The sequence below is a fragment of the Homo sapiens genome, chromosome 6 (assembly GCF_000001405.40).
Source record: "Homo sapiens chromosome 6, GRCh38.p14 Primary Assembly".
Taxonomy (NCBI): domain Eukaryota; kingdom Metazoa; phylum Chordata; class Mammalia; order Primates; family Hominidae; genus Homo; species Homo sapiens.
The window spans coordinates 130,250,302-130,264,544 of record NC_000006.12 but is presented as its reverse complement, the minus strand read 5'-3'; the positions used below and the strand labels follow the sequence as shown (position 1 = coordinate 130,264,544).

The 14,243-nt window shown below is 36.9% G+C and overlaps 1 protein-coding gene across 3 annotated transcripts in view, besides 2 other annotated features; it reads left to right on the top strand.

The window, feature by feature from the left end:
- The window catches only part of SAMD3 (sterile alpha motif domain containing 3), a 223,117-nt gene that overhangs the window by 101,324 nt on the left and 107,550 nt on the right, over positions 1-14,243 (top strand). The window lies entirely within an intron of this gene.
- Positions 3,703-3,822: an enhancer, noted in NCBI's record as "active region_25059". NCBI's record gives its function as "activates an Ori minimal core promoter by ATAC-STARR-seq in GM12878 lymphoblastoid cells {active_cell/tissue: GM12878}" and the evidence as "EXISTENCE:reporter gene assay evidence [ECO:0000049][PMID:35858748]".
- Positions 4,043-4,182: an enhancer, noted in NCBI's record as "active region_25058". NCBI's record gives its function as "activates an Ori minimal core promoter by ATAC-STARR-seq in GM12878 lymphoblastoid cells {active_cell/tissue: GM12878}" and the evidence as "EXISTENCE:reporter gene assay evidence [ECO:0000049][PMID:35858748]".

Sequence of the window (14,243 nt, the reverse complement as noted above, 5' to 3'; positions counted from 1 at the left end):
TGATGAAATGCCAGGGTAAAAGGGACAGCCACATGGACTAAAGCACAAGTGCCACTCTAGTTATTTGGCAGAGTGCCCAGTAAAGGTCCACCACAATACCACCACACATCCACTCGGGGATGAACAAGGGCTGACTGATTGATAAGCTCTTGAAAATTCTTAAACTCATCACATCCCTTCAGGTCTCCAAGGAATGCTATTTCCTCCCTGTCATGAGAGACATGAAGTGAACTTAGTGTTGGGAGATGGAAGCTGGATGGCCTTTGGCAGCTGAACCGCAGGGTGCCAGACTTCGGGATAGAACACAGAGAGCTTGGCATGACTTATTACTCCAGGCTGTAGAATACGGGAAAAGAGCTACCATGCAGCCTATGCATGGTCGACTGGAGGACCACCTTAGTGGGAGGGGGACAATCTGGGCCTCTGGCCTGCCATGTGCACAAGCATAACAATTGCTTTTGTTTAACATGCAGATGGAATATTTGATCCATTTTAACCAGGCATTTGCATCTTGGTATCCTGTCTTAATTGCTAAAGTTTGTTGTAAGTCTTTAACTTCCATGATCCTCTAGTAAAATGAATGTATGATTTTAGGAAATTACAAAAACTGGTTGGGGCAGTCCATCCTTGCTCTTTAGTGGTCCACAGAATGTTGGACCAACTATGGCATGAAAACTCTACATCGGGGGGCAAGACTCCTGGTCGGCACTGGGGTCTTTATCGAAATCTCCCCCGATTAAATGGTCCTAGTTTACTAATGCCCAGTCTAAGGAGAGTCAGGAGGAACAGAAGTACTTTTCTGAAGTAGAAAGCTGTCTTTGACTTGGCAAGTCTCCACAAGGCAAGCATTAGATGCAATAGTTTGAGGCGAAATTGACTTGGTTATGTTAATAACTAGATGGTCAGCAATAGAACGAGGAAAGAAGAAAGAGTAATAGCGTAGATGAAACGAGTTAAATTTTTCTTAGCTTTAGTTTGGTAGGGTTTTCCCCTGGGACTATGGCCCACGACTCTGGAGGGGGTGGCGCTTTCTTGAGTCGGGCATGATGAGTCTATCCTTTTTTGCTGTATGAACAGCATTCTTGGTGGTTAGCAGCACAAGGTAGGGTCCTTCTGAGGCTGGCTCGAGTTTTTCTTCTTTCCACCTTTTGACGAGAACGTGATCTTCAGGCTGGCTCTGGTTTACCGGAAATTCTAAGGGTGGTACAAGTGCTAAAAGACTTTTAGTTTTTGAGGGAAAGGAAAGTGGAAGATAAACCAAGTATATAATTTTTAAGAAATTGATCTTTTGTTTTAAATGTGGGGACCTTGGCAGTGGACTTTATAGTCCTTAGTGCTTTTTTACTGAGAAATTTCCTTTAGCACCTATTTTTATTAGGTTTTAAACCAAAGAAAGCCAAATACCATTTTACATTTAACAATGCTTCCTGTATGATTTTTATACCAGATAAGTTAAATTTTACATTTATATTAGTGTGTTATTAATGTTAAACCTAATTTTAATAAAACCTTGTAGACATTTATCCAATTTTTAATATTTGACTATAAGGTAAGATTTTATAGATTCTTTTTAACCTTTTATAATTTTTGCTAAAGAGCAGGTTTGTGTTTTAAGGAAAACCTGTTATGCTTTTATTTTTATGTCCAGTTTACAGAAAAACTGGATGATACCTCTTTAACTTTGGCCAATGTCTACACACAGAATTTTTTTTCAATTAACATTTTGAAACTTGATTAAACCTTTAAAACAAAATATACATATTTATAACCTTTTAATGTAGGTAAAGCTTTACATTCTTATGGCTCCTTATAATTCTTACTACTAGAAGTATATTTTAATTTCTTTATATACCTTGCACATAAACTGTTTCTTTAATAGTTTTACATTTAGGAGGCCTAATTACTTTTAAATTATACAACATTTCTTGCATGAATTTCCTTTTATAACCTTTTTTTTTTTCAATTACCTGGGAGGAACCATCCATCATCCTGTCCTGAAGGGAGTTCCTCTTAGGTCTGGTTGGACCTTTGTATGGTAATTAAGATTTAAATCCCTTGTTAGGAAACCTGCTGGGTTAAGGGAATTTCCTTTTTTTTTTTTCTAACAGAATAGCCCCATATTTTAAGATTTTTGAGTTAGTAAGCTACTTTTTTGCCTTTTTGATTTAGGATAGCTCTGAACTGAACTAGTGAGGTGTGCTCACAATGAGGTTTCCTCTAAAAGTTTTTTTTTTTCTTACTTTTTTTCTGTTAGCAAAGCAGTTGCCACTACAAATTGAATGCATTTGGGCCATCCACAGGTTACTGGGTCAAGGATTTTTGATAGGAAGGCCTCAGTGCTTTCGAGATATGCCCTTGTTTACACTGACAACAAAGTGGTATTGGAGTGTTATAGGCTTACGAAGAATACCTTCAATTATCAATTACAGGTTTTAAATTTACCTTGGCTTTTAAAGGAATAGGGTACACCATTTTTTTTTTCTTAACTACTTGTATATATCTCTCTTTGACTTTGTCTTTCTCTCTTTGACTTTCCTTTTGGCTCTGTCTCTTCCTCTCTTTCTCTGCCTCTCTCTTTCTCCTCTCTGTCTCTCTCTCTGTCTCTCTCTGCCTGGCTTATAATGCAGTTCTTTGAACCACTGTGGAGAGATCTAAAACCAGCTGTAACCAAGTGTCTATGTATGGGAACTGGTCTGGATGCCCGGGATTTACAGGTTACCTTGTGCCATACCTTTGAAACAAGGGACCTGTCCAGGCTTCCTTCTGATGGCCAACCCACCTCTAATGCTGGCTGGTCTATTTTACACAAAGTTTTAAGTTTTCCTGGTGTCATAGTACTACATAGTCTCCTTTAAATCCTTTTTGAAATTTTTCAACATAGTTCCTAGTAGGGTGAGCTTATTTGTGCCTGACCCATGCTTCTTCGAGACAAAACACCACGCTCACACCACACACACACCACAAAACAAAGAATGGGTAAAAAGGGCACACACACACTTTTGCAGTTTACACCAAATCAAAATCAAAACCAAAATCAGAGTATCCAGAAATCAAAACCAAAGTATCAAGCAATCCAAGTCAAGTCAAAAACAAAAACCAAAGTGCTGGTACAGGCACACCGTGGGTGATCAGGCCATGCTTCCACTCAAATGGAGTAGGCAAGTTCCCAAGACCGGTCCTGTCAAGCAATTCAAACCAAGTCAAAACCAAAACCAAAGTGCCGATAAAGGCACGCCGTGGGTGATCAGGCCACGCTTCCACTCAAATGGAGTAGGCAAGTTCCCAAGACCGGTCCTGTCAAGCAATTCAAACCAAGTCAAAACCAAAACCAAAACCAAAGTGCTGATAAAGGCACGCCGTGGGTGATCAGGCCACGCTTCCACTCAAATGGAGTAGGCAAGTTCCCAACACCGGTCCTGTCAAGCAATTCAAACCAAGTCAAAACCAAAACCAAAACCAAAGTGCCAATAAAGGCATGCTGTGGGTGATCAGGCCACACTTCCACTCAAATGGAGTGGGCAAGTTCCCAAGACCAGTCCTGTCAAGCAATTCAAACCGAGTCAAAACCAAAACCAAAACCAAACCAAAGTGCCGATAAAGGTACACCGTGGGTCATCAGACCACACTTCCACTCAAACAGAGTAGGCAAGTTCCAAAGACTAGTCTTACCAAGTTTCAGATGTCCAGACTCCAAGTACCAGTTCCTTCCCGGTGTTCAGCCACTGCGTTGATCCTCCACAGGGGGCTGCCACACACTGCTCTGGTGAGGCGTCTCACTGGGCAAATGCCTACCCGGGAGTGCTCTCAGGATCCGCATGGCTTGGGCTGGTTGGAGTCCCCTGCAGGGATGTTCCACAGGGCAGGCTTAAGTCACCTAAGGAGCTGCCTCGACCATTCGCCAATCACCTTGCTTCCCGGTCAGGGAACCAAGAAATGTAGCAGGGCCAGCTGCAGACAAAACTCCTCAGACACTGAGTTAAAGAAGGAAGGGGTTTATTCAGCCGGGAGCATTGGCAAGACTCCTGTCTCAAGAGCCAAGCTCCCCAAGTGAGCAATTCTTGTCCCTTTTAAGGGCTCACAACTCTATGGGGGTCCGTGAGAGAGGGTCGTGATCAACTGAGCAAGCAAGAGGTACGTGACAGGGGCTGCATGCACTGGTGGTCAGAGTGAAACAGAACAGACCAGGAAGTTTCACAATGTCTTTCTATACAATGTCTGGAATCTATAGATAACATCAGTTGCTAGGTCTGGGGTTGAATTTTAACCACCAGGCTTAGGTCAGGCAGGCCCAGGCCTGGTTTCAGGTCTGGTTCCTTGGTTTTGGGTCTGGTTCCTAGGCACCGGGCTACCTGCCTTTAGTTTCACTTCTCTTTCCTTTTCTGAGTATAAAACAATATGAGAGGGTCTGTCTCTATTCTCTCACTATATGTAGTCCATTGTTGAACAAAACATTATTATGCAGTATGTGACTGTATCTATGATATAGAAAGGACTCTAAGAACTCAATAGTTCAAAAGACTAATTAGAAAATGGCCAAAAAACTGAAGAATCCTTGTGATGATGTACTTATTCTTATCTTGACTGTGGTAGATACCTGAAACACGTGATAAAATTGCAGAGAACTAAATGCAGCACACAAATGAGCACAAGTAAAACAAAAAAAAATTGAACAATTTCAGTGGATTAAGTTAATGTCAATATCTTGTTTTTAGCATTGTACTAAAGTTTTGTGAGATGTTATCACTAGAGGAATCTGGGTAAAGGATAGGCAGGCTCTCTCTGTGTTACTTCCTATAACTTTGCACATGAGTGCACAGTTATCTCAAAATAAAAAGTTTTGTTAAAAAAAATACATTGAGTCCAGGTTTTGTGCTCCTCTGACCTGGCAGGCCTTTTCCTCTAAATCGGGTACTGAGACAATGGTAAAGGGCCTGTTTCTATTCACTGTATCTTTTGATCATTTATGTGTTTCTATGGTTTGAATGTTTGTCCCTTCCAAATCTCATGCTGAAATTTTATTCCCAATGTTGAAGATGGGGCCTAATGGGAGATGTTTGGATCATGGAGGCTGATCACTCATGAAAAATTAATATCCTCACTCAGGTGAGTGAGTTCTCACTGCATTCATTCCCAAGAGAACTGATTGTTAAAAAGAGCTCCACGCTCTTGCTTTCTCTCTCACCATGTGATCACTGCACACATCAGCTCCCCTTTGCCCTCTACAGTGAGTGGAAGGAGCCTCAGGCCCTCTCACCAGATGCAGATGCCCAATTTTGAACTTTCTAACCATCAGAATCATAAGCCAAATAAACCTTTTTTAAAAAATAAATTACTCAGCCTCAATATTCCTTTATAGCAGCATAAAACAGACTAAAACTTAAGGGTTTCTTTGCTCTGCTATTACTGGCTAAATAGAAAACCTTTGGGAAAGTAACCTAAGACTGAGATTTCTCCTTAATCCTCTCTCATCATGAACCTATAACCAACCTGTATGGGCTAGGCCAGCTCACCTCCTCTCTATTTCTCTTCTAACTTACTTCATATCTTTCCTTTGTTTCCACTGTAAAAGTCATAAAATGGTAGATCTCACTAATTGTTCCCACTTCCTCAGTTCCTGTTTACTCTTATTCAGTACTATTAATAATCTACTTGCTAAAATCACTAAAATCTCCCAAATTGCCCCAAATTTTAAAGAAATTTGAACTAAATGATAATCAAAAGGTAACATCAAATCTGTGGGATATAACCACAACAATCCCTAATTTAAAAAAATCTTCCCAAAATAAAATTCTAAAAGTATATTTATATAGAAATTCTAAAAAATGAAAGCTAATCTACAGTGAAAGAAAGTAGATGAGTGGTTGCTGGGTGATAAGGAGGTGAGAAGGTTCCAAATAGAAGGATTATGAAGGAGCATAAAGACTCTTTTGTGTGTGATAGTTAGGTTCATTATCTTGATTGTTGTGATAATTTCACAGGACTATTCATATGTCAAAACTTATCAAATTGTGCACTTTAAATATGTGTGTCCGATTTTACCTCAATAATGTTAATTTTAACTAGTTGATAAACCCAAAATAAGACTGGAAATACACAAAGAACAGAAGGGACAAATGGACAACAATTAGCAAATGGCAGATTTAAATCATCCCTATCAATAATTACATAAATGTAAATAGACTAGACACTTCAATTAAAAGACAGAGATTCTCAGGCTGGATAAAAAAGCAAGAGCTACCATGTGCTCTCTACAAGAAACCAACTTTAAATATTCAGGGAGAGATAGGTAGAATGTAAAAGGAGAGAAAACAATATGCCATTAAAACAATAAGAATACGAAAGCTGGCATGACTATATTTATATCAAACATAATAGATCAAAAGATACATACAAGAATGTTCAAAACAGCTTATTGATAATAGTCAAAACATGCCCATTTATAGTAGAATGTAAAAATAAATAGTTATATATTTATTCCACGGAACACTCACAATAATTAAAAAGAAAAAACTACTCCAATATGATGTACAATAACATGTATTGTATGAACATGAACAAACAGAAACATATGTTGCTACAAGCAATAACAGATGTCACAGATATAAGTGCATGGATCGTATACTTCCATTTTTGCCTTAAGAAGAGACAAAACTAATCTATGGAAATACAAGACAGAATAGTGTTTACCTTCAGAGTACCAGCAGGAAGGGGCAGAAAGGAATTTCCTAGATAGTTAGAAATGTTCTATAACCTCATCTTATTGTTTATTTGCTGGGTGTATATATTTATATTAAATTCATCAAGTTGTATACTTAAAATTTGTACATTTTGCTGTGTGTCCATTATAATTTCAATTAAAAATTGCTTGTCAATAAGATTTTTCTAAAAATTAAAACAATATTTCTATAACATTTTGAGTAAATTAGATATGAATAAGTACCAGAAAGTTTGATCTAGAGAGGAGAGTTGGCATTGAGATGTATTCAGAATAGTAATTGAGGGATAGGGAATTAAAGGTCCCTGACTTATGGGTTTTCTTATACTGTCAGGAGTGAAATTATTCTTCTAATTTTAAAAATAAATGAAATGAATGACAACTACTATATGAAACCAATTTCTCTGTTATTACTAAAATGCCTTAAATCAGGTCAATGCAGTCATGAGACTAAAAGACTTGTACACCAGGACTGTCTTAGTCTTTTTGGTCTGCCATAACAAAATATAAGGCTGGGTAACTTAAAAACAGAATTTTATTTTCTCACAACTCTGAAGGCTGGGAAGTCCAAGATCAAGGTGCTGGCCAATTCAGTTTCTGATGAGGGCCTTCTTTCTGTCTTGCAGATGGCTCCCTTATTCCTCTGTCCTTATAAGGAGAGAGAGAGAGAGAGACAGAGAGAGATCTTTCCCTTATTATAAGGCAACAGTCTTATCAGATTAGGACCCCAACCTTAGTCTTTACTAAGGCTTAATTGTCTCTTAAAGAACTCTTCTCCAGACATAGTCATATTGGGGGTTAAGGCCTCTACATATTAATTTGGAGTTGGGGACACAATTCAGTTAGCAAGGACACAGAAAATATTTTTAGAGAGTTACTTACACAGCAACTATTTCCAAAAGAATCTGAGATAGCTAAATAGTGATTTGGGGTTACTTGTAAAATAACCCTTATTTCATGCCATTTCAGAAAACTGAATAAAATGTCTCACAAAGTGATAGAAAATTAAACTCATCCATTTAATGGTATCTGGTTAAGCTGGAACATCTGGGTTTGATGTTTAAAATAAGTTTGAAACCATAAAATGTTTTATTTTTTATGTCAATTCTGTTTCATTTCTTTTATTGGAGAAAGAGCTTAGGCAACAACATCTGTTTCCATGAGCATTGGGAGAGGACTGCATATTGACAAAGCATGTAGTCATAAACAGACAAGTAAGAGGACAAAGACTCTCCTAGCTAAAAAGTGGAATGACATGCAGCAATACAAATTAGAGAGACCTCTGAGCAAAAGAAAAAAAATTGCTTCCAAGAAGAATCATAGCAGTCAAGGAAATATTCTACAAAGAATGATAATGGTTATGAATTTTAAAAAGTATTTTATTTTTACATGGCAGAAAATAGTCAAGATTTAGTGCACAGTGGTCACTGGTCTTGAAAGCTCCTTGGAGTACAATTACATGTGGTCGTCTCAGATTCCAATAGAAAGGGCATATAACTAGGTAAAATAGCAAATCATTCTATGTTATAAAAGTCCTAGTTGCAGAAGAGAATCTGATATGAAGATCTCATATCTAACTTGTGCTAAAATACAAGAAGCCTGGAGTTCCACAATTAATTAAGCAGCTCATCAATGAAATCAAGAGTCCAAACCCTTTCTATCTTTCCAGTGTGCATCTTTATCTATTTGGTGCTTTTGCTTGTTCTCATGATTTCAGAATGGCAAAAGTCTATACTAGATAAACAAAACAAAAATAGAAAAATGTCAAAGTATGCTACTACCAAAAAACCATCAAACCACAAAGGAAGACAGCAACCAAGAAAGAAAGAAGCAAAATACCTACAAAACAACCAGAAAACAATTAATGTAATGGTGTTAGTAAGTTTTTGCTTATCAATAATTACTTTGAATGTAAATGGATTAAGTTATCTAATAAAGAGACATAAAATGACTGAATGGTTTAAAAAAAAAAAAGACAAGACCCAACTATATGTTGCCGACATGAGACTAACTTTACTTTTAATAATATAGACTGGGGTCAGGTGTGGTGGCTCACACTTGTAATCCCAGCACTTTGGGAGGCTGAGGTGGGGGGATCGCTTGAGTTCAGGAGTTCAAGACAAGCCTGTGCCATGTAGTCAGATTTTGTGTCTATCTATCAAAAAGAATATTTAAAAAAATAGAATATGTAATAAAACCAAAAGTAGGGAAAAAGATATTTCACACAAAGGATTCAAAAGAGAACAAGGATAGCTATTCTTAGATAAAATATACTTTAAATTTAAAACTGTAGAAAAGCGATCAATTCATCAAGAGGATATAACAATTGTAAATATTTATGCACCCAATATTTGAACACATAAATATATAAAGCAAATGTTAAAGGATCTGAAAAGAGAGATAGATTGCATACAATAATAGTAGGGGGCTTCAATACCCTATTATCAACAATGAGCAGATCATCCAGATAGAAAATTAATAAGGAAACACTGGACTCAAACAATGCTTTAGATCAAATGGACCTAACTGATGTTGCAGAACATTACATCCAACAGCAACAGAATATGGGTTCTTTTTAAGCACACACAGAACATTCTTCACGATAGATCATATCTTAGACCACAAGACAACTCTTACCAAAGTTAAGAAAACTGAAATCATATAAAGTACCATTTTCTGATCACAATGGTATGAAACTAGAAGTCAATAACAAGAGGAATTGTGGAAAGTTTACAAATACTTGGAAAGTAAACAACATTCTCCTGAACAACAAATAGGTCAATGAAGAAATTAAAAGAGAAATTGAAACAATATCTTGAGACAAACATGGAAACACAACATACCAAAACTTATGAAATGCCACAAACACAGTTTGAAGAGGAAAGTTTTAAGCAATGATTATTTACATCAAAAAAGAAGAAAGATATAAAATAAACAACTGTACACCTCCAGAAAATTTAAAAGCCAATTCTACCAAACATTTAAAGAAGAACTAATACCAATTCTTCAAAAATTTCCCAAAAAGTCAAAGAGGAGGGAATACTTTGACACTCCTTTTATGAGGCCACTATTACCTTGATTCCAAAGCCAGACAAAGATATCACAAGAAAAGAGTAATGAAGAATCATCTGAGAAACAAAGCAAAACTATCCAGTTATGTATAAGGAGGAAAAATCAGGCTGGCTTCAAACTCTTCACAGCAGTATTCAATACTGGCTTACACCTGTAATCCCAGCACTTGGGGAGGCCAAGGCAGGCAGATTGCTTGAGCCTAGGAATTTGAGACCAGCCTGGGCAACATGGCAAAACCTTATCTCTACTAAAAATACAAAAAGGCAGGACTCGGTGGCTCATGCCTGTAATACCAGCACTTTAGGAGGCTGAGGTGGGTGGATAACCTGAGGTCGGGAGTTCGAGAGTGGCCTGCCCAACATGGCCAAAGCCTGTCTCTATCAAACATACAAAAGATTAGCCAGGTGTGGTGGCAGGGCACCTGTAATCCCAGCTACTCGGGAGGCTGAGGGAGGAGAATTCCTTGAACCTGGGAGGCAGAGCTTGCAGTGAGCTGAGATCACGCCACTGCACTCCAGCCTGGGCAATAAGAGCAAAACTCTGTCTCAGAAAATAATAATAATAAAATAAATAAATAAATAAATAAAAATACAAAAAGTTAGCTGAGCGTAGTGGCACACACTTGTAGTCCCAGATACTTGGGAGCTGAGGTAGGCAAATCAAGTGAGCCCAGGAAGTCAAGGCTGCAGTGAGCCATGATCTTGCTCCTGCACTCCAGCCTGGGTGACAGGAGTGAGACTTTGTCTCAAAAAAAAAGATGGGTAACTACAGCAAAATGCTTACTGGGACATTTTGAATGTATCTAATTACAGACCTCAGACCAAAACAAACATGAGCAATACAGTAACAGGAGAGAATTTAAATGTTATATACCCTAACAATGAAGATACACTAATAACAGGAGGAGAGGTAAGGGGTAAATAACATTATTTAATGATGAAAAATCACATAAAAGAGGTATAAGCACATTTATTAGTACAAAGATATACCCCCCTCCACCAAAAAAAAATAATAATTTTAATTTGGTGGCAAGGAAGAAATAGAAGGAAATATTACACTAATTTATTTCTTAAAATAGAAAGCATTGATATTTACTTTAAAAGGTGAGAATATAAAATTATACATATAACACATATTTAAAATCTTATATTCTATAAATATAGCATTGTTGAGTTATATTTATAAAATTATAGAAAAATGCAAGTTCTCTTAACTGTCAGAAGACTTCTGCAAATAAGACAAGAAAATGGATCACATTGTTAATGATTTTTAAGCCCTAAAATATTCAAAATAACACACAAGGTAAATACCTAGAATTAAAGATATTATCATATCAATAAATGTAAGCTCATCTATTGAAAAAGAATTTTAGGTAGTAGCTCAAGATGGTTGTAGCCCACTGGTTCCAACTAAACAAGGACTGCACCCAGACTCACAAGAACTTGAAGTTTTCCTCTATTCTTTCTGCCTCCGAGAGAAGCCAGAGCTGGACTCACACAAGGATAAGAAAAAGAGCTCACTTATTTTTGTCTTATTTCAAATTACTTCTACCACAGGAAACTTGTCACTAATAAAGAGTTCCCAGAAAAGGATGTGCTGGAAGTAGTGAAGTTTTATAACACTGCATCTCCTGCGCAATTGCTAAGGAAAGGATACAGCACAATATGAACTGAACTTCACTAGGTTGTGTAAAGTATGTACACAGAATCCTGCAGAGGCATGGAAAAAACCTGACCCAGATGGCCTTCACCTGTCTGATTACTGGAAATGTAAACAGCTAATCAAGAATGGCGTTTTCTGTAAGTATGGAAATTATGACTAAAATAATTTTACCAATGTCATCGTCTTAAAACCTACCAAAAAGCAAAGATTCTTCAGGAGAGCAGATACCCAATATAGACTGAGAATGTAACACCAAAATTCCAGGGATCGAGAGAACCCTTCCACAGAGCGCATCTCTGAAGCTTGCTCCTGTGCCACAGCTGAATTAATAGTTGAAGCTAAGCCTACCAGTGGACAGCTGTTTTGGTTGCCACAAAGGAATTCCAACCCAAATCCAGGAAACCAAAAACAAACGACACTTCAGGCGGCAGAAACCCTTTCAAGTTTCTACTTGTGTTTTCTTAGCTAGTGTTGTAACAAAGCTTTACACCAGCAGCTGGTTTAGTTTGTCAGTTGAAGTTTTTACGGAAATTTAAATCAGACGAGGGCAAGATTTGGCCAAGTGATTTGCCTTGTTTTCACCCCCCAGTGAGCTATTTGCAGCTACTTGGTTTACTCTTTCTTTTTCTCTCTCTGTAATTAAACTAAAGTTTTGAATAAAAGATAGTGTACCCATATTTCTTATGAACAAATATCTATTTCAGGAAGAAAAAAAATGAGATGTAAAGGAAAGCAAAGACTGTTAAAATAGAGAAAAAAGCTTACTCTAATTATATGCTGTCTATACAAGACTCACTTTAGATCCAAAATGCAAATAAGTTGGAAGTGAAAGGATAGAAAAAGATATATATACCCTTCAAAATCAGTAATCAAGGAGAGCTGGGGTGGCTATGTTAATATCAGAAAAATAGGCTTTAAGACACAAGTTGTTACTAGAATTAGGCAAGGACATTTTATAATGAAAGGGTCAAAATGTCAAGAAGATATAATAATTATAAATATATATGCATGAAACAACAGAGCCCAAAACACATGAAGTGAAAACAGACAGAACTGAAGAGAGAAGAAGACAACAATAATGGAGCCTTCAATAGCCCACTTTCAACAAGGAATAGAACATCTAAACAGAAGTTCAATAAAAAAAAAAGAGGACTTAAACAATGCTATAAACTCACTAGACCTAACACATCTGTAGAACCCTCAGGATCAGATTATTCTGTATTATTTTCTTAACAATTACACAAGAGACCCAGAATAGCCAAAACAATCTTGAAAAATAAGAACAAAGTTGGAGGACTCATACCTTCCTATTTCAAAACTTGCTACGAAGCTACAGAAATCTAGATTGTATGGTACTGGCACAAGTATAGATCAATGAAATAAACTTGAAAGCCTAGAAAGAAATCTTCACCTCTAGGATTAAGTGATTTTGGACAAGTATGCTAAGCCCATTCAATCAGGGAAATAATAATCTTTCAACAAATTGTGCTGGACCAACATCCAATGCTAAAGAATGAAATTCCATTTTTTCCTCACCTCATATACAAAAATTATCTGACATAGATAAAAGACCTAAATATAAGGGTTATCATTATAAAAGTTTTAGAAAAAAACAGACGAAAAATTTGTGTCCTTGCATTATTCAATGGTTTCTTCAATATGACACCAAAAACATACTCAACCAAAGAAAAAAACTAGATAAATTAGACTTCATCAAAATTTAAAACATCTGTGCTTCAAAGAACACTATCAAGAAGGTTGAAAAGATATAGAATCAAGAATGTATAAATAACTCTTACAACTCAAGAGTGTAAGACAAATAACCAAAATTTTAAAAGGGCAAAGAGTTTAAACAGACATTTCTCCAAAGATATGCAAATGGCCCATAGATGCATACAGAGATGTGTCTCTATCCATAATGGAAATGCAACTCAAAACCACAATAAGATACCACTTTATGCCCACTTGGATGGCTATAATCAAAAAGACAGATAATAGCAAGTATTGGCAAGAATGTGGAGAAATTCAAACCTGCATTCACTGCTGTTGGGAATATAAAATGTTTCTGCTGTTTTAGAAAACTGACATTTCCTCAAAAGATGAAACAGGGTTATCATATTACCCAGCAATACCACTGCTAAGTATATACACAAGAGAAATGAAAACATATGTCTACATAAAAATTTGTACATGCATGTTTGTAGCAGCAGTATTCATAAGAGCCCAGAAGTAGAAAAAACCCAAATCCATCAACAGATAAATGGATATAAACAAAATGTGGTATGTTAATACGATGGAATATTATGTGGTCATAGAAAAGAATGAAGTACTTATCCATGCTATAATATGAATGAACCTTAAAACCATTATGTTAGGAGAAAGATGGCAGACACAAAGGACCACATATTGTACAATGCCATTCATATGAAATGTCCAGAATATGCACATCGAAAGAGACAAAGGGCAGATTAGTGGTTGCTTGGGGAGATGATAGAACAATGGGTGAGGGTGGAATGGAGAGTGACTGCTAATGTCTATGCAGTTTCTTTTTGGGGTAATATAACTAGTCTTAAATTGAGGTGATAGTTGCACATCTCTGGAAATATACTAAAAATCAATATACTGTAAACTTCAATGGGTAAATTTCATGTTATGTGAAATCTATTCCAATAAACATATAAAATGGGGGAGACTACTATTTAGTAGGCATAACTGCTTCTACTGCTTTTCTTCACCTCTTCTCTTCCTAGTCCTTTAGCACTAGGGCAAAAGAATAAGGGCGCCTGGTAGACCC